This window comes from Homo sapiens, chromosome 16, assembly GCF_000001405.40.
Source record: "Homo sapiens chromosome 16, GRCh38.p14 Primary Assembly".
Taxonomy (NCBI): domain Eukaryota; kingdom Metazoa; phylum Chordata; class Mammalia; order Primates; family Hominidae; genus Homo; species Homo sapiens.
This window is the reverse complement of record NC_000016.10, coordinates 60,528,679-60,553,264: the sequence shown is the minus strand read 5'-3', so window position 1 is coordinate 60,553,264 and position 24,586 is coordinate 60,528,679. Positions and strand designations below refer to the sequence as shown.

The following is a 24,586-nucleotide window of genomic DNA, read 5'->3' as shown; positions in this document are numbered from 1 at the left end:
AATGAACTAAATAAGCCTCCAGGGACCAATGTTGAAGAAATAGACAACATGTGACCTGTCAGACAGAGCATTCAAAATAGCTGTTTTGAGGAAACAAAGAAAATCAAGATAACACAGAGAAAATTCAGAATTCTGTTATATAAATTTGATAAAGAGATTAAAAGATATATAAATTTAAAATTCAGAATTCTGTTATATAAATTTAATAGAGATAGAAGAATTAAGCAGAAATTCTTGAGTTGAAAAATGCAACTGACCTGCTGCATAACACATCAGAGTCATTTAATATCAGAACTGATCAAATAGAAGAAAGAACGAGTGAGCTTGAAGATAGGCTATTTGAAAATACACAGTGAAAGGAGACAAAAGAACAAAGAATAAAAAACAAGAAAGCACACCTACAAGATCTGGAAAATAGACTCAAAAGAGCAAATCTAAGAGTTATTGGCCTTAAAGAGGAGGCGGAGAAAGGTATAGGGGTAGAAAGTTTATTCAAAGGGATAATATCAGAGAACTTGCTAAACCCAGAGAAAAATATCAACATTGAAATACAAGAATGTTATAAAACACCAAGCAGATTTCATCTGAGGAAGACTACCTCAAGGCATTTAATAATCAAATTCCCAGAGGTCAAGGATAAAGAAAGGATCCTAAGAGCAGCAAGATAAATGAAAGAAGTAACATGCAATGGAGTTCCAATATTTCTGGCAGCAGACTTTTCAGTGGAAAAGGAGAGTGTGTCATGCCATATTAAAAGTGCTGAAGGAAAAAACTTTTATTCTAAAATGGTATATCCAGTGAAAATATCCTTCAAACATAAAGGAGAAATAAACACTTTCCTAGACAAATAAAAGCTGATGAATTTTATCAACACCAGGCCTCTCCTAGAAGAAATGCTGATGTGAATTCTTCAATTTGGATAAAAAGAATGTTAATGAGGAACAAGGATTCCTCTGAAGGTACAAAACTCACTGGTAATAGTAAGTAAACAGAAAAATACAGAATTTATATCACTTTAATCATTGGTTGTAAACTACTCAAGTAGAAAGATTAAAAATGAACCAATCAAAAATAGTAACTACACTGACTTTCCAAGACATAGTGTAATAAGGCATGAAGAGAAACAACAAAAGGTTAAAAAGTAGGAGAATATAGTTAAAGTGTAGAGTTTGTATTAATTTTCTTTTTATGTGTTTGTTTATGCAATCAGTGTTAAGTTGTCATCAGTTTAAAATAACAGGTTCTAAGATAGTATTTGCATGCCTCATGGTAACCTCAAATTGAAAAACATACAATGGATACACAGACACAAAAGAAAGAAATTAAATCATACAATCAGAGAAAATCACTTTTACTAAAAGGAAGACAGTAAAGAAGAAAAGAAGGAAGAGTAGACCACAAAACAACCAGAAAACAAAGTTTATGTGTGGCTATTATAAATGGGATTACTTTTCAAATTTCTTTTTCAGATTGTTCACAAAAACCATATCATCATTTCAAGTGATGGTAAAAAAGCATATGATAAAATTCAACATCTCTTCATGATAAAAAACCCTCAAAAAACTGGGTATTGGCTGAGCGTGTTGGCTCACGCCTGTAATCCCAGGACTTTGGGAGGCTGAGGTGAGTGGATCACAAGGTAAGGAGTTCGAGACCAGCTTGATCAACATAATGAAACCCCATCTCTACTAAAAATACAAAAATTAGCCAGGCATAGTGGCACGTGCCTCTAGTTCCAGCTACTTGGGAGGCTGAGGCAGAAGAATCGCATGAACCCAGGGGGCAGGTTGTGGTGAGCCGAGATCGTGCCACTGCACTCCAGTCCGGGCAACAGAGTGAGACTTCGTCTCAAAAAACAAAAAATAACAACAAAAAAACTGAGTATAGATGAAACATACCTCCACATAATAAAAGCTGTATACAACAGACCCACAGCTAGTATCATACTGAATGTGGAAAACTGAAAGCCTTTCCTCTAAGATCTGGAACACAACAAGTGTGTCCACTTTTACCACCGTTATTTCACGTAGTACTGGAAAACCTAGAGCAATCAGACAAGAGAAAAAAATATAGAGCCTCCAAGTTGGAAAGGAATAAGTCAAATTATTCTTATTTGCAGACGATATGATCTTATATTTGGAAAAACCTAAAGATTCCAGCAAAAAAAAATATTAGAACTGAGAAATTTAGTAACATTGCAGGATACAAGATCAACATATAAAAATCAGTCACATTTCTATATGCCAAGAGTGAAGAATTGGAAAAAGAAATTGAAAAGTAATCCCAATTACAATAGCAACAGATAAAATTAAATACCTAAGAATTAACCAAGAAAGTTGAGGAGCTCTACAAGTAAACCTATAAAACGCTGATGAAAGAAATTGCAAAGAACATAAAAAAATGAATATATGTTTCATGTTTATGGATTGGAAAAATCAATATTGTTAAAATTGTATATCCCAAAGTAATCTACAGATTCAATGCAATTTCTATCAAAATATGAATGATATTTTTCACATAAATAGAAAAATCAATTCTAAAATTTACGGAATCACAGAAGACCCAGAATATCCAAAGCTATCCTGAGCAAAAAGAGCAAAACTGGAGGAATTACATTACCTGGCTTCAAATTATACTAAGGAGCTGTAGGAACCAAAACAGCACAGCACTGGCATAAAAAGAGACACATAGACCAATGAACAGAATAGAGAACCCAGAAACAAATCCACACACCTACAGCAAACTCATTTCTGCAAAGATGCCAAGAACATACACTGGGGGAAAAAACAGTCTCTTCAACAAATGGTGCAGGGAAAATTAGATATCCACATGGAGAAGAATGAAACTAGACCCCTATCTTTCACCATATACAAAAATCAAATAAAAATGGATTAAAGAATTAAATCTAAGACCTCAAACTCTGAAACTACTACAAGAAAAAATTGGGGAAAGTCTCCAGGACATTGTTCTGGGCAAAAATTTCTTGAGTAATACCCCACAAACACAGGCAACCCAAGCAAAGATAGACAAATGGGATCATATCAAGTTAAAAATCTTCTGCACAGCAAAGAATACAATCAACAAAGTGAAGAGACAACCCACAGAGTGGGAGAAAGTATTTGCAAACTATCCATGGGCAAGATATTAATAACCAGAATATATAAGAAGCTCAAACAACTCCATAGGAAAAAAAATCTAATAATATGATCAACAAATAGGCAAAAGATTTGGATAGGCATTTCTCAAAGACATGCAAATAGCAAAGAGGTAAATTAAAAGGTACCCAACATTGCTGATCATCAAAGAAATGCAAATCAAAACTACCATAAGACATCATCTCACCCTAGTTAAAATGGCTTATATCCAAAAGAGAGGCAATAACAAATGCTGGTGAGGATGTGGAGAAAAGGGAACTCTCTTACACTGTTTGTGGGAATGTAAATTAGTACAACCTCTATGGAGAACAGTTTGGAGGTTCCTAAAAAAAACTTAAAATAGAGCTCCTATATGATCCAGCAATCTCAGTGTTGGGTGTATCTTCAAAATTAGAGAAATCAGGTATCTAAGAGATATTTGCACTTACATGTTTGTTGCAGCACTGCTCACAATAGCCAAGATTTGGAAGCAACCTAGGTGTTCATTAACAGATGAATGGATAAAGAAAATGTGGTACTTATACACAATGAAGTACTATTCAGCCATTAAAAAAAGAATGAGATTCTGTCATTTGCAACAACATGGATGGAACTGGAAGTCATTATGTTAAGTCAAATAAGCCAGGCACAGAAATTCAAACATTACATGTTCTCACTTATTTTGGGGATGTAAAAATCAAAACAATTGAACACATGGAGATAGAGATTAGAAGGATGGTTACCAGAGGCTAGGAATGGTATTAAGGGGTGGAAGTAGGGGTTGGAGGAGAGGTGATGATGGTCAATGGGTACAAAAAAAATAATTTGAATCAATGAAAAAGATCTAGTATTTTACAGCACAACAGGGGGACTATAGTCGATAAAAATTTAATTGTACATTTTAAAATAGCTAAAAAAGTATAATTGGATGGTTTGTAACACAAAAGATAAATGCTTGAGGGTATGGATATCCCATTTTACAAGATATGATTGTTACACATTGCATGCCTGTATGAAAATATCTCATTAACCCCATAAATATATACACCTACTATGTACCCACAGAAATAAAAAGTAACAAGAATACAGTAAATACGGATGGAAGGACTGTGTGCCTCCGAAGGTGGGAGGAGGATAGTCCTAAGGAAGTCTATAGCAGCACTATAGACTTTCTGCGGTTATATACGTTTTATACACCTATACTCTCCATTAAGGTAGTTATTAGTCTCATGTGACTATTGAACATTCAAAATGTCACTTGAAAAATGAGATAATAAAGCTTTACCAAGCAATTTCTGTGCTTAAAAAGTGTCAAGTCTCAATAATTGTGTTATGTAAGAATCAGTTCTGTCCTCTAAGCTTGAGAGGAAATTCCCTTTAAGCTTCTTTCTTCCTGAAACGTTCTGCTCTAGACATCTTCAGAGAAAAAAAAAAAAGTCTCCATTTTATTTAAGTCACTATTATTCTTGGCACCAAATGCTAATATATGCAGAATAATATTATGTTTTATTCCCAGCTGATTTGAGTTGAAGGTCCATTCCAAGCTACAATATGTTGGGGTCCAGTCTGCCTCTCCTCCTATAATTGATAGAATTTTCTTTCTTTCCTCCTGTAATAATACATAAATTTCATTGAATATTTACTGTATGTGATGCACTGTTCTAAGGTGCTTTTCACAAAATGTTTATGTAATCCTCAAAAGCAATGCTATGGAATAGCTATTGTAACTGTTCCTGGTTTACAAAAGAAAATCTTACTCACAGAATTTAAACAGCCAAGGTCAAAAACCTACTTAATGTTGAGATTGGTACGGACCACCTGGATTCGTGAGGCAATAGTGTATTCTCTTAACCGCTAATGCTAAATGATTAATATATGACTAGTATAGCATTACTTATGGGGGGACAATGAATTCTGCCAAAACGCAGGGAAGAATTTAGCCCTGCTGTGTAAAGACTGATCTTGTAGGCTTTTTGTCCTTTCAAACCAAGTTTTCAATAATTATACATCTAACAATTCATTTTTAATGTATTTACCCTTTTATTTTTTTATTTTTTTTATTTTTTTGATGGAGTCTCGTGCTGTCACCCAGGCTGGAGTGCAGTGGCGTGATCTCGGCTCACTGCAACCTCCGCCTCCTGGGTTCAAGTGATTCTCCTGCCTCAGCCTCCTGAGTAGGCTGGGACTACAGGTACGCATCACCGCGCCCGGCTAATTTTTGTGTTTTTAGTAGAGACGGGGTTTCACCATGTTGGCCAGGATGGTCTCCATATCCTGACCTTGTGATCCGACCACCTCGGCCTCCCAAAGTGCCGGGATTACGGGCGTGAGCCACAGCGCCTGGCCTTTACTCTTTTATTTATTATATTTGTACACTCATGAACATTTCAGTCCTCTTATCTGAAAAGTGCTGCTTAGATATCTACTACCTACCTACCTGGATTTTGTTGGCATTATCACCGTCATGATTGTAGCTAATACGTATTAAATACTTTCTCTATATCAGGTCCTAAATCAACAATTTAGAAACATTATCTCATTTAATATTGTTGTAGCATAAATTAATGGGCACTATTATTATCCCCAGTTTACAAATGAGGAAACTGAAGCTCAGAGTGGTTATGTACCTTTCTTAAGTTGTCACAGTTAGCAAGTAGCAGAGCCAGGAAATTAATCTAGGTCTGCCTTGTTATACTAATTCTATTGATGAACCACACACTTACACACCTCGTAATTTTGCCTGTGGACAAAGCTGATCATTCTATTCAGCTGTAGTTGTCAACCTGCAAATACACAATTTCCTATTTAGGGCATAATAAATATGCTGGTTATTAAGAACACATAACTTTCTCTCTCTACCTCAAAATGCATTTACTGTATTTTCCTCTAGGCAGGTAAGGAACATGCATTTAAATCTCCCTTTGACAAATGATTCATAGAGCAGCACTGATTCCTTGTTTTCCTTGTGCCTCTCGCATAAAATGCTGAATGAAGTCAAAGTGGTCAACGAGGGAGGTAGCAGCAGAATATGGACTGGTACTGTATAAAGAGAAAAAATGAGGGAGAGAAATCATCTTTGCCAGTGATGGAAATTACAAAGGCTAAATAAGAATTTAAACTCCCTTTTACCTCCCAGTGAACAAATGCACAACTTTTAACATTCTTCCTTTACATCTTAAATCTTAGAAGCTTGGTATCATTAAGTGACTCAGTGCAATAGTCCTTCAAGAGAAATTATACCCCATGTAAGAAACAGTGACAAATACCAGATATAGTACTCTCAGTCTAGTTAAACCACTGCCTTGGAAAGCAATAACATTGCCTGCTTTGATTCAAACGCTGAGTTTCTCTGCATCACGCACTGGTAGACTGTTTATCTTATTCAATGGCAGTTCAATATAAGACTGAGAGCTATAAAGAATTTATTCTATACTCCATCCCCAAATTCTGTTCTGGTCAAAATGTTAGAGCCTTGTTTTATTTAAGTTCAGGATTCTTTTTCTGTCTTATTGCTCACTCCTCTTGTCTAGTGATTGTTTCATTTTCTCTACACTCTGAGGAAGGGAAGAATTTCCCAGATGACATCCACTGGGTAGAAAGTCTTCTATACTAATTTCAAGATGGAAATGTCTTCATAAACATCCTCTAAATTTCTATAAAATTTTAATCCACCCATAGCAAGTCCATATTCTCTTCTGGCAGAAATTTTTTGCCTAACAACACACATTTTTCTTTATCTTTCTTCCTTTCTGGCAGAGACCAATCCCTACCATAGAGACTGAAAATGTTGGATCCTTGCTTTCCAAGCCTTTTTTGCTGCTAAGAGCCATGAGGGATCAAAATTCTGGGCAATAAGATATGCAAAAATGTCTTTTTTTTCACATATGAAAAAATTTCCCTCCCTGATAAAGAGATAGCTCCAAGAAGTATCCCACCTTCTTCCTTTGTGTCTTTGGGAATGATGGGTATAAATCTGTGACAACCATCTTGTCACAAGTTTACAAGATTGAAAATGGAAAACAAATATGCAAGCTATAACAGAACCAAAAGCAGAAAAAGTTGGAACAGTGATGGCATTATTGAGCCATTGAACCAATGCCGCAATAGCCTCTCTCCAGATTTCTTAATTTGTGAATAACCATCTTTGCTACTTTATTATCTAAGCCATGTTCATGCTTTTTCAGGTATTTTTTTTCTTCCAGCCAAAAGCATAGTAACTGATGTACCTATGTATCCCAACTGTTGCAACTATAGCAGGGAAAGGACAGAAACAGCTTTTATACCCATGAAGTTTCAGAAATATAATCCTTCTCAGAATATGGGGTTGTCAATAAATCTTAATCATCACCAGCTTTTGAACATGACCATCTTGGCTTTGACCTCCAAAAACTCAGCACATGGAGGAAAGGGAACAATAGTGATAAGCTCTTGGTCCTGAGTTTTTTGTTTATCAGTTTTATCATAAGAATTGCAAAGTTCCCCTTGGTTTTCCCCTTGGTTTCCAAAATTCAATCTTCTTCAGAAGAGTCTTTGGACATATTTAAAAATTTGCAAAATGGGCATTACTAAATTTATCCTAGATATAATTGTGCAACCACCAGAATTTCCCATCCTACTTACAATAAGGTTTTGACTTTCTGAAAGTATAAGAAGGATTAAATTTAGAGATGATAACGATAATGGAATTATAAATCAGCACACTTGAAAAAATAACATCAAATGGAATAAAAGCAGCAGCTCTACTTCCTAAATAAGATTTTATTTCTGGACTATTGGGAAAAGCCACAGATAAGACTGAAAGTGAATGGAATTTAAAGATAGGGAGACACTTCACAAGCAAAGACAGAATGACAGAAAGAGACCTCCAGGAATTGGCGCAAAGACAGGACCAAAGTGCAGGTCGTGGAGCTCCTCCTTCAGTAACCCAAAATGGATTCCTCAAACTGCTGAGTCCTAGGCTTCACCTCCAGGTCTAACACAAAAGAACTTCCAAGGTAAAGCTTGAAAATTTGCATTGTAATAAGTGCTTCCAGGTAAGTCTTCCTTAAACCCATTTAATTTTGTGAACCACTGCTCAAGACATGCTCTGTCATAGTGTAGCCACCAACCACATGGGGCTGTTTAAATTTAAATGTTAATTAATTAACTAAAAAAAATAAAAATGTAATTCCTTAGTTGCACTACTCTTATTTGAAGGGCTTTATCACCATATGTGGGTACCAGCTACCATATTGGACAGCACACAGAACATTTGGATCCTCGCAGAAAAGACTATTAGACCCAACAGTTCTGTTGTGTACATAAGCTTATGCCGTCCTTTCCTCCAAAATCAAATCCTCTGCTCTATGCTCCATCCCCTTTCCCTGTAAAATTACTCTAACCTATTTTGTACCTGTATTAGAGCACTGACACTGGCTATTTTATTTGAAAAAAAATTAAGACTATTATGTATCAATATTATGATTACTATGTATCAATATTGAACACAAAAGGCACTATATTCATTACTTTATATTCATTACACATTTTAATTTTCCTCCTTTTCTTTTTTTTTTTTTTTTTTGAGATGGAGTCTTACTCTGTCTCCCGGGCTAGAGTGCAGTGGTGCAATCTCTGCTCACTGCAACCTCCATCTCCTGGGTTCAAGCAATTCTCCCTGCCTCAGCCTCCCGAGTAGCTGGGATTACAGGCACCCACCACCACACCAGGCTAATTTTTTTTTTTTTGTATTTACAATTAACTCATGAAACACGTTTCAGTAGCTGCATTTTACTGATAATATAAGTGTGAGTTGGGACATTACTAATTTAAGAAACGAATATTAATTGTGTACCTCCTCTTGGTAGGTACTCTTCTAAAACTGGGTGGGAGGAGGAGAGTGCAGTATTATACATAAACACAAAAAAGAAAAATTGCTGCCACCATAGTTTTCACTATTGTGGGCAGAGACAGGCAAGAAAGAAGTAAATAAGTTGATTATTTGAAAAATGCATGTCAGATGGTGCTATTAAACAAAGTATTTCAGATTATATAAGGAGAAAATAAATACTGAAAGAGTAAGGTAAGACCAATCAGCCAGTAATTGGTAAAATTAATATTCATACTCAATTATATTTCAACCTATTACAAAAGTACTTTATTTGTAAACTAAAAACTTTCTGGATACATTAAAAAAAAATCTCTTATCCCAAGTCACCAACATCCCCTCTTTAACTTATTCGAAAAGAAAGGGTAGAGTCATTTCCGGAATAGAGGTAGAACAGGGCATGGCTGAGTACTAGGAATCACAGGGGAACATGTTTTCAGGAACTGAGGGAAAGAAGATAACATATAACTTAATTGAGAAGGAAATAATTTTCACAAAAATCTAGGTGGGATATGAGATAAAAGGAAATATATGTCTGCCTCAATTCTTTCCAACTTACTCTGCCAAAAGAGGGGTGAAATTTTATTTTTATCTATCTGTATTCACTGTGTGTACGTAGTGTATTCATCTTGGGAGCTCAGATATGTAGCTCTGTAGCACCATTTCTTCATCTTATTTTATTCTATTCTTTAACTATATAGGGTATTTGTAAATGCAAAGTCAAGTAAGCAAAAATAAAGTCATATTTTAAAAATTTCATTGTAAGTGGTTGAACTGTAACTCTAAGGTTTCTTCCCTCCAGGCTGGCAACTTTAATTTCAGTGAGTTTTGTGCATATGCACATACAAATGTACGTACATATACACATAACCTCTCAACAAATAGGCAAAGACGCCTTAGTCTTATTCAATACCTTAGTGTAAGGCAACACTCAAGTGCTTCACCTCCACACAAACACCACTTAAATTAGTCACTGTTCTGGAGTTGAAAACAGAAGCTGAGATGATTGAGAGACACACTTAAAACACAGAAATCTGCTGAGGCTTGGTGCCTAGAACCTAATTTCCTTAAGTACCTGTCTGGGCTATCTGCATGAAGGTCTTCCTGCTCTCCTGGGAACACCTCTATACATGAAGGTGTACATCCCCACTTCCAGCAGCAGCTTCCAGAGAATTGGCAATATCTGCCCTCTCCTTACTTCATTCTTTCTTACAGTTAAGGCTTAAAGGATTTACTTCCTTCACTCGCCATTCGAAATATCTGTCGAATTAGTTAGATTTCTTCAATTAGTTACATTTCTTCAAAGGCAGGAAGAAATATTGTCTTCATGGAGTTTTTGCCTCCCTTTTTATTTTTAAGGACATTTATGATTACAATGGGCCCATCCCGATAATCTAGGTTAATTCTTTATTTGAAGGTCAGCGGATTAGCAACATTAATTCCTTCTACACCCTTATTTCCCTTTGCCATGTAACATAACATGTTTGCAGGTTCTGAGGATTAGGGCATGGCTATCCCTGCGGACTATTATTCTGCCTACTGCAAGTTTTTATGTCAAAATAACAACTACAACGACAGAAAGAAAATAAACTATAAATTATCCTGACAGTCTATCTTTCAATTGAGAACTTTAAAATTTTGATTTGCAAGTAGCTATGTTACAACTGAGAAGCAGAGAGACAAGGATGTCATGCCATCACTACTCTATGAATAAAATGAGAAATATTAAGTAGCCAATATAAAATAGATATAAAGTGATTCAGAGAGAGTAGACTCTTCTAAGTAATTATCTGTGGGACTCAGATTTGTAGTTATATTTTAATTCTTTCTTTCTGGCACCTCCCTGTTTCAGTGCTTGGTTTGTTCCTGTCCGGAAGCTTAGTTCACTATCTCCAGTTTCAGCTATTATTACTCTCACACTAAAAAGAATATTGATGAGGGCACTGGGAGACTAGAGTTTCAATCCCAGCTCTTCTACTGGGTAACTCCAATTCCCCAGTTAATTTACTTTCTGCCTCTAAGATTTAGTTTCCTCATAGGTAAAAAAGCAATGAATTCGACTACATAGTAATGCAAACAATCATTTATTAAATAAGAACCATAGTGGCAGATTCTGGACTTGGAACATGGGAACAATATAATTTAATGCTCAATAGTTCTATAATTGTTATCTCTATCTTACAGATAAAGAAATTGAGGCTCAGAGATGGTTAAGTAGCATTTCTTAAAGTAACCCTGTTTACACATCGAAACATACCTCATATATTCTGACATAGTATAGAATACTCTCGTAATGCATAAAGTATAAAAACCTCTCATTTAATAATCTTAATGTCATTCAAATGGAAATGTGTGAATGTTTATAAAACATAAATTTGCACACAATATCCAACCTATGTCTCTGCAATAAATTCATGTAAATACCACCAATTCCAAATGATGTATTCAAAAGTGAGGGGAGCAGAAGGCTCAATTTCCCAAGCTGCTGAGTCTTTGCTGCAGGCAGATTCTAGCTCTGATTAAATTAATGTCTGCCCAAACATAGGAACAGAGCCAACCTGAGAATCAATGCCAGTTAAAGCTTTCAGCTCTTCGGGTGTAACTCTTACTTTTCATAGAATACAGTGGAATTCCTTCTATCACTATAAAATGTTAATAGGAGCATTTGGATTAAAAACTCCATATGATGTAGTAAAGTTTTCAGAAAATGAAGCTACAAGAATAAGAGAAAATCTAAAGAAAACTACATGTGCACATCTGTGTCATTGTTGTCTGTTAAAATGAAAGTACTAGAAGATCAACTGGGCATTATTGCCTCTTGCGAGTTTCTTTTCAAGCTTACAGAGTCTACCATACCTGCTATCACTACACCTGTTATAGACCATTCACTGTTCCTTAGATAACAATCAGAGCTAACAGTGACAGAGCATTCTAGGTACCAGACACCATATTAAGTAGGTTTATAAGCATTACTCATTTTTCATAAATATCTTATATAAGTGGGTAACCAAACTTTGCAACTGAAGTGACAGAGGGTTACAGGGATTAACTAATTTGCCCATGGTTGTACAGCTAACAAGATGTAGAGCAGCCACGTTCTTTTATTGAGGGCTCATGCTATATATAGGTTCAATTTAGTAGAGAAATATTGTCCCTCTGAATAAAAGCATTATTTTTTGTCTGTTTCTCTACCATTGTGTGTCCTTTGAAAAAAATAACACCATTGTTTCTTTTTTATTTTGAGATAGAGTCTCACTCTGTTGCCTAAGCTGGAGTGCAGTGGTGCAATCTGGGCTCACTACAACCTTCACCTCTGAGGTTCAAGTAATTCTCCTGCCTCAGTCTCCTGAGTAGCTGGGATTACAGTCACACACCACCATGCCTGGCTAATTTTTGTAATATTATTATTATTATTATTTTTAGTAGAGACAGGGTTTCTCCATGTTGGCAAGGCTGGTCTCAAACTCCTGACATCAAGTGATCCACTTGCCTCGGCCTCCCAAAGCACTGGAATTACAGGTGTGAGCCACCACACCCAGCCCAATAACACCATTCTTTACCTTTTCTTCCCACTTCATCTTCCACTGACCCACATAGAATCTTTCCCATAGAAAGATTCTATGAGAATCTATCTTAAAGTTAATAAATTATCTAATTGCTAACAAACTATCTTAAAGTTAATAAATTATTCTAGATGTAAGTGGAAATTCCATCCACATATTTATTTTTCCATGTTTGTCATCATTCTCATTAATCAAGGCCATCATCCTCACCCGACAAATTAATAACCATAAGAGTCCATATCATATGCTTAACATTTTATTGGCACATAATTGAAAATAACAAGGAGAGTAATTACTTTTGGATGACTAGCTTTTATTTTTTCTTAGCTATATGCATCAATTTTAAAAACTTGTTGGTTAACATTTATTTAGTATTTAATCCCATCTGTGTGCCTAAAGAAATTTAGTCACAGGAATGACTTCTGTCCTTCCATCTGCTTTTGAATTTATCAGATTTCTAAAACTCTTCTGAGGAGCTGTTGTATTTTTGCCAGCCTATACATGGGAAAAGATGAAACCCTGAGATGTAACACTTAGTTTAAGGATATGTTTGTACAATATTTTTTGTAAGCAGCTAAGATACTTTGAGGACTATTGAAAGGCTAATTTTCTACTCATGATTTTCTCAAATACAGATGGTATCTAAATAAAAAATATTTTGATACAGCAGTTAAGTCTCCTTGGGTGGGCAGTATTAGTCTTGAGAAATAAATATGTACGTATAAGGACCAAGGGATCAGTAGAAGGGTGACCCAAGTGATCCTTGACAGCTTTGGCAATAAAGTAGAAAGTCCTCAAACCTCACTGAACATTACAGTTGGGATTTTCTGTGAATTATTTTTCTTTTGGCCATTCTTGCCTGCATAGCCAACATGCTAATCAGCTACAGTTTTGAATTTTACTCCTTTGTCAGGTGACAACTGAGGACTATGGTTATGTGAAGAAGAAATATTAATATTAACTTTGATTCCTGGGCAAGATGGCTGCATAGGAACAGCTCCAGTCTACAGCTCCCAGCGAGACCAATGCAGAAGGTGGGTGATTTCTGCATTTTTAACTGAAGTATCCAGTTCATCTCACTGGGACTGGTTAGACAGTGGGTGCAGCCCATTGAGGGCGAGCTGAAGCAGGGTGGGGTGTCACCTCACCCAGGAAGCACAAAGGGTCAAGGAATTCCCTCCCCTAGCCAAGGGAAGGCATGAGGGACCGTGCTGTGAGGAATGGTGCACTCCATCCCATATACTACACTTTTCCCATGGTCTTTTCAACCCACAGACCAGGAGATTCCCTTGAGTGCCTAGACCACAAGGGCCCTGGGTTTCAAGCACAAAACTGGGTGGCCTTTTGGGCAGATTCTGAGCTAGCTGCAGGAGTTTTTTCATACCCCAGTGGCACTTGGAACACTAGCAAAATAGAACCATTTACTCCCCTGGAAAGGGGGCTGAAACCAGGGAGCCAAGTGGTCTTGCTTAGTGGATCCCACCCACATGGAGCCCAGCAAGCTAAGATCCACTGGCTTGAAATTCTCACTGCCAGCACAGCAGTCTGAAGTTGACCTGAGACACTTGAGCTTGGTGGGGGGAGGGGAGTCCACCATTACTGAGGCTTGAGTAGGCGGTTTTCCCCCTCACAGTGTAAACAGAGGTTGGGAAGTTTGAACTGGGCAGGGCCCAAACAGCTTGCCAAAGCCACTGTAGCCAGACTGTCTCTCTAGATTCCCCCTCTCTGGGCAGGTCATCTCTGAAAGAAAGGCAGCAGCCCCAGTCAGGGGATTATAGATAAAACTCCCATCTCCCTGGGACAGAGCACCTGGGGAGGGGTTGCTGTGGGCACAGCTTCAGTAGACTTAAATGTTCTGGCCTGCCAGCTCTGAAGAAAGCAGCAGATCTCCCAGAACAGCGCTCACTCGAGCTCTGCTAAGGGACTGACTGCCTCCTCAAGTAGGTCCCTGACCCCTGTGCCTCCTGACTGGGAGACACCTCCCAGTAGGGGTCAACAGACACCTCATACAGGAGAGTTCTGCCTTGCCTTTTGTGCCCGTCTGGGATGAAGCTTCCAGAGGGAGGAACAGGCAGCAATTTTTGCTGTTCTGCAGCCTCTGCTGGTGATACCCAGGCAAACAGGGTCTGGAATGGACCCCCAGCAAACTTCAGGAGACCTGCAGAAGTGCCTGACTGTTCTAAGGAAAACTAACAAACAGAAAGCAATAGCATCAACATCAAGAAAAAGGATGACCATGCAAAAACTCCATCTGAAGGAAAAACTCATCAACAGCAAAGACCAAAGGTAGATAAATCCATGAAAGTGAGGAAAAACCAGCATAAAAAGGCAGAAAATACCAAAAACCAGAAGGCCTCTTCTCCTCCAAAGGGTCACAACTCATCACCAGCAAGGGGAAAAACCGGACAGAGAATGAGTTTGACGAGTTGACAGAAGTAGGCTTCAGAGAGTGGGTAATCACAAACTCCTCCAAGCTAAAGGAGCATGTTCTAATCTAATGCAAGGAAGCTAAGAACCTTGATAAAAGGTTATAGGAACTGCTAACTAGAATAACCAGTTTGGAGAGAACATAAATGACCTGATGGAGCTGAAAAACAGAGCATGAGAACTTTGTGAAACATACACAAATATCAATTGCCAGCTCTATTAAGTGGAAAAAAGCATGTCAGAGATTGAAGATCAACTTAATAAAATAAAGCATGAAGACAAGAAAAGAGGGAAAAGAATGAAAAGGAATGAATAAAGCCTCCAAAAGATATGAGACTATGTGAAGAGACCAAACTTATGTCTGACTGGTGTTCCTGAAGGGGACAGGGAGAATGGAACCAAGTTGGAAAACACACTTCAGAATATTATCCAGGAGAACTACCCCAATCTAGCAAGACAGGTCAACATTCAAATTCAGGAAATACAGACAACACTACAAAGATACTCCTCGAGAAGAGCAACCCCAAGACACACAGTCATCAGATGCACCAAGGTTGAAATGAAGGAAAAAATGTTAAGGGCAGCCATAGAGAAAGGTCAGGTTACCCTCAAAGGGAAGCCCATCAGACTAACAGCAGATCTCTCGGCAGAAACCCTACAAGCCAGAAAAGAGTGGGGGCCAATATTCAACATTCTTAAAGAAAAGAGTTTTCAACCCAGAATTTCATATCCAGCCAAACTAAGCTTCATAAGTGAAGGAGAAATAAAATCCTTTACAGACAAGCAAATGCTGAGGGATTTTGTCACCACCAGGCCTGCCTTACAAGAGCTCCTGAAGGAAGCACTAAATATGGAAAGGAAAAGACTGTACCCATCACTGCAAAAACATACAAAAATGTAAAGACCATCGACACTATGAAGAAACTGCATCAACTAATGGGCAAAATAACCAGCTAGCATCGTAATCACAGGATCAAATTCACACATAACAATATTAACCTCAAATGTAAATGGGCAAAATGCCCCAATTAAAAGATACAGACTAGCAAATTAGATAGAGTCAAGATCCATCAGTGTGCTGTATTCAGGAGACCCACCTCACATGCAAAAACACATGTAGGCTCAAAATGAAGAGATGGAGGAAGGTTTATCAAGCAAATAAAAGAAAAAAAAAGCAGGGATTGCAATCCTAGTCTCTGATAAAATAGACTTTACCAACAAAGATCATGAAAATCAAAGAAGGGCATTAGATAATGGTAAAGGGATCAATGTAACAAGAAGAGCTAACCTAAATATATATGCACCCAATAATGGAGCACCCAGATTCATAAAGCAAGTTCTTAGAGACCTACAAAGAGACTTTGACTCTCACACAATAATAGTGGGAGACTTTAACACCCCTGTCAATATTAGACAGATCAATGAGACAGAAAATTAACAAGGATCTTAACAAGAACTTGAACTCAGCTCTGGACCAAGCAGACCTAACAGAACTCTCCACCCTAAATCGACAGAATATACATTCTTCTTTGCACTGCATAGCACTCATTCTAAAATTGGCTACATAATTGGAAATAAAACACTTCTCAGCAAATGCAAAAGAAAGAAAATCATAACAGTCTTTCAGACCACAGTGCAATCAAATTAGAATGCAAGATTAAGAAACTCACTCAAAACCGCACAACTACATGGAACCTGAACAACCTCCTCCTGAATGACTACTGGGTAAATAACAAAATTAACGCAGAAATAAATAAGTTCTTTGAAACCAATGAGAAAAAAGAGACAACATACCAAAATCTTTGGGACACAGCTAAAGCAGTGTTTAGAGGGAAATATATAGCACTAACTGCCCACAGACAAAGCAGGAAAGATCTAAAATTGGCACCCTAACATCACAATTAAAACAAATAGAGAACCAAGAGCAAACAAATCCAAAAGCTAGCAGAAGACAAGAAATAACTAAGATCAGAGCAGAACAAAAGGAGATAGAGACACAAAAAAACCTTCAAAAATCAATGAATCCAGGAACTGGCTTTTTGAAAAGATTAACAAAATAGATAGACTGCTAGACAGATTAATAAAGAAAAAAAGAGAGAAGAATCAAATGGACACAATAAAAAATGATAAAGAGAAGATCACCACTGATCCCAAATACAAACTACCATCAGAGAATACTGTAAACACCTCTACCCAAATAAACTAGAAAATCTAGAAGAAATGGATAAATTCCTGGACACATACACACTCCCAAGACTAATCAGGAAGAAGTCGAAACCCTTAATAGGCCAATAACAAGTTCTGATATTGAGGCAGTAATTAATAGCCTACCAACCAAAAAAAGTCCAAGACCAGATGGATTCACAGCCGAATTTTACCAGACATACAAACAAGAGCAGGCACCATTCCTTCTGAAACTATACCAAACAATAGAAAAAGAGGGACTCCTCCCTAACGCATTTTATGAGGCCAGCATCATCTTGATATCAAAACCTGGCAGAGACACAACAAAAAAAGAAAATTTCAGGCCAATATCCCTGATGAACTTCTAAAATCCTCAATAAAATACTGGCAAAGTGAATTGAGCAGCACATTAAAAAGCTTATCCACCACAATCAAATTGGCTTCATCCCTGGGATGCAAGGCTAGTTCAAAAAAATGCAAATCAATAAACGTAATCCATCCCATAAACAGAACCAACGACAAAAACCACATGATTATCTCAATAGATGCAGAAAAGGCCTTCAATAAAACTGAACATCGCTTCATGCTAAAAACACTCAATAAACTAGGTATTAACTGACCATATCTCAAAATAATAAAAACTATTTATGACAAACCCACAGCCAATATCATACTGAATGGGCAAAAGCTGGAAGCATTCCCTTTGAAAACCAGCACAAGACAAGGAATGCCCTCTCTTACCACTCCTATTCAACATAGTATTGAAATTTCTGACCAGGGCAATCAGGCAAGAGAAAGAAAGAAAGCACATTCAAACAGGAAGAGAGGAAGTCATATTATCTCTCTTTGCAGGTGACATGATTGTATATATAGAAAACTCCATTGTCTCAGCCCCAAAACTCCTGAAGCTGATAAGCAACGTTAGCAAAGTCTCAGAATAAAAAATCAATGTGCAAAAATCACAAGCATTCCTGTACACCAATAATAGACACACAGAGAGTCAAATCATGAGCAAACTCCCATTCACAATTGCTACAAAGAGAATAAAATACCTAGGAATCCAACTTACAAGGGACATGAAGGACCTCTTCAAGGAGACCTACAAACCACTGCTCAAGGAAATAAAAGAGGATACAAACAAATGGAAAACAATTCCATGCTCATGAATAGGAAGAATCAATATCGTGAAAATGGCCATATTACCCAAAGTAATTTATGGATTCAATGCTATTCCCATCAAGCTACCATTGACATTCTTCACAGAATTAGAAAAAACTACTTTAAATTTCATATGGAACCAAAAAGGAGCCCATATAGCCAAGAAAATCCTAAGCAAAAAGAACAAAGCTTGAGGCATCACACTACCTGACTTCAAACTATACTACAAGGCTACAGTAACCAAAACAGCATGGTATTGTACCAAAACAGATATATAGACCAATGGAAAAGAACAGAGGCCTCAGAAATAACACCACACATCTACAACCATCTGATCTTTGACAAACCTGAGAAAAACAAGCAATGGGGAAAGGATTCCCTATTCAATAAATGGTGCTGGGAAAACTGGCTAGCCATATGCAGAAAACTGAAACCGGATGCTTTCCTTACATCTTATACAGAAATTAACTCAAGATGGATTAAAGATTTAAATGTAAAACCTAAAACCATAAAAACCCTAGAAGAAAACCTAGGTAATACCATTCAGGACATAGTCATGGACAAAGACTTCATGACTAAAACACCAAAAGCAATGGCAACAAAAGCCAAAATTGACAAATGGGATCTAATTAAACTAAAGAGCTTCTGCACAGCAAAAGAAACTATCATCAGAGTGTACAGGCAACCTACAGAACGGGAGAGCATTTTTGTAATCTATCCATCTGACAAAGGTCTAATATCCAGAATCTACAAGGTAATTAAGGTAATTTACAAGAAAAAAAAACAACCCCATCAAAAAATGGGTGAAGGGTATGAGCAGACACTTTTCAAAAGAAGACATTTATGCAGCCAACAAACATGAAAAAAAGCTCATCATCACTGGTCATTAGAGAAATACAAATCAAAACCACAGTGAAATATCATCTCATGCCCGTTAGAATGGCAATTATTAAAAAGCCAGCAAACAATGGATGCTGGAGAGGATGTGGAGAAATAGGAAAGCTTTTACACTGTTGCTGGGAGTATAAATTAGTTCAATCATTGTGGAAGACAGTGTGGCAATTCCTCAAGGATCTAGAACTAGAAATACCATTTGACCCAGCAATCCCATTACTGGATATATACCTTAAGGATTATAAATCATTCTACTATAAAGACACATACACATGTATGTTTATTGCACACTATTCACAATAGCAAAGGCTAAGGGCCAACTCAAATGCCAATCAATGTTAGACTGAATAAAGGAAATGTGGCACATGTACACCATGGAATACTATGCAGCCATAAAAAAGAATGAGTTCATGTTCTTTGCAGGGACATAGATGAAGCTGGAAACCATCATTCTCAGCAAACTAACACAGGAACAGAGAACCAAACACCACATGTTCTCACTCACAAGTGGGAGTTGAACAATGAGAACATATGGGCACAGGGAGGGGAACATCACACACATCACACACTGTCATGGGGTTGGGGCTAAGGAAGGGATAACATTAGGAGAAATACCTAATGTAGATGACGGGTTGATGGGTGCAGCAAAACACCATGGAACATGTATACCTATGTAACAAACCTGCACATTCTGTACATATATCCCAGAACTTTAAGTATAATATATATATATAAATATTAATTTCATCTTTTTTATTGAAAATCAGATGCATGAATAAAAATTGTGAATTCCTAAGTCACAACATATTAATTTGATTATTGTTATCATTATTACTTGTTAGTACCCATTGTGTTAGGAATTTTACAAGAACTACTCATTTAGTTTTATAATTCCCTAAGGCAATTATCATGACTCTCTTCATTTGAATATTGAGGATATTGAATTGAGAGAGGTAAAATAGTGTATCTAAGTGCACACAGTTAATTTACACCTTTTCTGTCCACATTTTAAATTGTCTCTTTCCCCACTGATTGTACCTGTCACTGGTAATTTTGGTTAGGGAAGATGACTAGATGAGCTTAAATTCCAAATCTGCTGTTGTCTGTCAATTTGGGCAGTAGCTTACCCCACTCAGGACATCCATTTTCTATTTAAAATTGATGCGAATAACATTGGTCTTAAGATGTTTGTGAATTTAATGCTGGGCGTGGTGGCTCATGCCTGTAATCCCAGCACTTTGGGAGGCTGAGGTGGGTGGATCACGAGGTCAGGAGATCGAGACCATCCTGGCTAACACAGTGAAACCCTATCTCTACTAAAAATACGAAAAAAATAGCTGGGCATGTTGGCCTGCACCTGTAATACCAGGTACTCAAGAGGCTGAGGCAGGAGAATCGCTTGAACCCGGAGGTGGAGGTTAAGTGAGCCGAGAATACACCACTGCACTCCAGTCTGGGCGACATAGCGATACTCCGTCTCAAAAAAAAAATAAAAGATGTTTGTGAATTTAATATTATATATTATAATGTATGTAACAATAATCAATAATCAAAAAGTCCCAAGCATAGTAAATGGTAAATAAGTAATAGTTTATTATGATTTCTTTATTTAAATGTTCAGTAAAAATTCCTTCATTTGCTCATTCATCCATCTGTACAAATATCATATGTATATAGAAAAACCTAATCTACACTAAGCACTGAGCATATGCTGATATCTAAAACAGAAAATGTTACTGCCCTGGAGGAAACTTTGATTTCATTAGTAGATTAATATTACCCATAGCAAATTCTAAGAAAATAAACAGACTCAAAGGCAAGAATTAAAGAAATTAGCTTTTATAAGTAAAAAGAACAATGAGGAGGAATAATAACACAGGATTTTGTATTAATGGGTTTCAGGGATCCTTGCAGTACTATGAGCTTATACACTCAGATTTTGTTTCTATGATATTACATAATTTTGTTGCATGAGCCAGTTTAATTCAAAAACTCTCATACTGTTTATGTAGCATTGCACTGACCCAACCTGTTGCAGTTTAATCTTTGCATATATTTTCGTGACATGCTCCCCACAAAACAAAACAAAACAAAACAAAAACCAGTTTCTGCCACAGTCAACGTGCTTTGCACTACAAATACAAAATGTTCATTTTTTCCTTTCGTCTTCCAAATATTTTTCTGTTTTCTCTGCAATAATGTCAATGTCATAGGCATTTGTCCTTTCCAAATTAACCATCAGACATGTCTTTACCATGATTATCCTGGCTTTGCTTTTACATATCGACAACCAGATTCTACTTGACTGATTATAGATTGTTTACCCCCTACATGTTATTTAAAAGCACATATTTCAACATAGTGAATTTCCTAAACTACAGTTGATTTCAGTCAATTTTCTTTAGCTCATTTTTAATTCTCTTCATGCAGTCTTTAAAAAAATCCAACAAGATGTTTCGTGCGGTGCCATTTGACAATTTGAAAACTGATTATGCTGTGATCATAGCCATGTGCAACAACTCCACTTTCCTTCAAGTTTAGGATGGCAAAAAGAACAATATTAGTTGATGATTCTGGTGGGGTGGCAACTTGTATACTAAAAACACAAAAGACAAGAACGCAAAAGATCTAGATGCATCCTAATCATGTCATTTCTCAATTTAAAGCCAGTTAAAGCCCAACCTCCTGAGTAATATGTATGAGGCCATCACCACATGTACCATAATCTGAGCCTTCTTCTCTGGCTCCCAATTTTGACAACTATCTTCCAGCAATGTTGCAGATCTTTGTGTTTTCTCACCCTATTTCTTTTCATACTTGTTGTTATTTCTCTCTGGGCTTTTAAATGAAACTAACTCCTACTCGCCCTTCAAGGTTTAACTTAGACATTACTTCCTTCTTATGGCTTAGTTCATCTGTTTCTCAAACTTATGTAAGATAGAACTACTTCAGGAAATTCTCAAACCCTACTGAATGGTTGTTTTAAGGGTACTTGAGATTTGTTTCAATTAGGTATGGTAAGACATGCAGACATGAAAATGACTGTCATAAAATAAGTTTTTATACCTAAATATCCCTAGAAACAGGAGGCAAGACATGCCACACAAGATCACACAGGGAAGCACCAAAGTTAGTCAGGAGGCAGAGGAAATGAGAGGAAAACATGGACAAGAGCCTTTATTGTGGTTTTCATGGGAAGAAACAAGTGAGGCAGGACCAGCCAATTTAGGTTTGTAAGTATGAATAATATCTGCAGGCTCTGAGGTATAGAGGTTGTCTCTATTTGTCTGATACCTGGCCTTGGGATGATTAAAAAAGGAGAATAATGGCCCAAAGAATGATAGCTCCATAGAGGAGGTGGTTAGGGGTGTGGGCTTGGGATTGTTTGGTGTTCATTTGAAAGGTGTGCTCCCAGGGTAGTTGTTTCTTATCTCTAGGAATTAGCTATTCCAGGGAAGGGCAATTCCTCCAATGTCAGCAAGGACAGTAAGATGTCAAAGCATCAGAAAATGCAAGGGGAAAACAAGCACGATTAATACGATGACCTTCTTTAGGAAACATTGTTAACTTCTAAAGTGCCCAGGTGAAGTCCCAGTTCCAGTAATAGTGGTGAAATAGCTTGCATAAGAATAATCTTCCTGTATATAACAATTATAAACTGTTCACGAATTGGAGTCAAGAGTAGAGAAAAATTGGAAAGAATGTGACTCTGATAATAGGTATATCACTGGATAAGATCTGTGTTTCAAAAGTATTTTCCCTGGTATTTCTTCAGATTTGCATTATATGGGGCCACAAAAACTCAGGAAGGAATAGCAATAACAATAATTTTAGATTGAGGCGTCAAAGAAAGAATGTAGGTTATCAGAGTGTCTAGAAACTGAGGAGGTAACTAAAGAAGGTGGCGGCTTTAAGTCTGCATATAAACCTTCCACAAACCTTTGGCCAACTCTGAACTGTTCACACATATGTAGGCTCCAACAAGACTCTCAGAAAACAGAAGACTGAAAACAGACCAGAGGTCTCAACTGTTGTAACAGGAGAAAAATACACATTGAAGTTTTAATTTCACCTGGTTAAAAGTTTGATAAATACTTTCCATTGCAATTCCACATCTGTCATGCAGCGTATAGTTGGGTCACTGTATAAAAATAAACTCTATTAATCATTGTCTTCTAATTAGTGTATTTAGACCATTTGCATTGAAATTACTTATTGAGATGCAATAAATATACCTTTTTAAAAAAATGTTTATGTCCACTGTTCCCTATTCCTCTGTTTTTCTTTTCTTACCTTCTTGTGAATTATTCAAACACTTTGTGTAATTCAGTAAGATTCCATTTTGATTTACTTCAATGTTTTTTAAGAATATCACTTTGAATTATATTCTTAGTAACAACTGTATCTATTGAAATATACATATGTATCTTATCACAGTTTATTGGGATCAACATTTTACTACTTCAAATAAAGAGTGGAAACCTTGTTTATATTTAGGTCCTTTTACCATTCCCACTTTTATATATTATTATCTTGAATATCAAATGGTTTTATAATTTTGACTTTGACCATCATACATTATTTAGAAAACTATTGTTCTTACTCAGTGTATTAGTCTGTTTTCACACTGCTATAAAGAGCTACCTGAGGCTGGATTATTTATGAAGAAAAGAGGTTTAATTGACTCAAAGTTCCGCAGGCTTAATAGGAAGCATGACTGGGAGGGCTCAGGAAACTTACCATCATGGCAGAAGGCGAAGGAGAAGCAACTACCTTCTTCACAATGGTGTCAGGAGAGAGAGCGAGAGCAAGAGCAAGAGTGCGAGTGAAAGCGCACGCGTGTGAGAGAGAGACAGACAGACAGAAGGGGGGAGTGCCACACACTTTTAAACTATCAGATCTCATGGGAACCCACTCATTTTCATGAGAACAGCATGGGGGAAGTTCACCCCGTGATCCAACCACCTCCCACCAGGTTTCTCCTCCAATTTGACCTGAGAGTTTGGAAGGAATACCAATACAAACCATATCACTCACATGTCTCCTTCTGCCATTATTGATTCTTCCTTCCTGAGGCTCCAAGACACGCTCTTTTATTATTTGAAAAAAAATTATTTTATCCATTTTTTAAGGGTAGGTCTGCTAGCAACAAATACTTTTTTGTTTTCTGCATTTGAGAATTTATTTTTCCCTCATTATTTTTGATGACGGTTCTGCTGGTTATAGAATTAGTTGTTGCCAGTTCTTATTATTTATTTATTTATTTATTTATTTATTTTTATTATACTTTAAGTTTTAGGGTACATGTGCACATTGTGCAGGTTAGTTACATATGTATACATGTGCCATGCTGGTGCGCT

The 24,586-nt window shown here is 36.9% G+C and overlaps 1 long non-coding RNA gene across 4 annotated transcripts in view, besides 1 other annotated feature; it reads right to left on the bottom strand.

Annotated features, from left to right (window-relative positions):
• Nucleotides 1–6,009: 6,009 nt before the first annotated feature.
• Nucleotides 6,010–24,586, bottom strand: part of LOC101927605 (uncharacterized) — a 187,474-nt gene continuing 168,897 nt past the window's right edge. For all 4 annotated transcript variants that reach the window (XR_001752229.1, XR_001752231.1, XR_001752230.1 and 1 more), the window contains one exon: nt 6,010–6,173. This is a non-coding gene — a long non-coding RNA (uncharacterized LOC101927605). The remainder of the gene's footprint in view (nt 6,174–24,586) is intronic.
• Nucleotides 14,573–14,779: a silencer, noted in NCBI's record as "fragment chr16:60572390-60572596 (GRCh37/hg19 assembly coordinates)". NCBI's record gives its function as "represses an EF-1alpha promoter that drives an FKBP-Casp9 reporter gene in an ReSE screen in K562 erythroleukemia cells {active_cell/tissue: K562}" and the evidence as "EXISTENCE:reporter gene assay evidence [ECO:0000049][PMID:32094911]".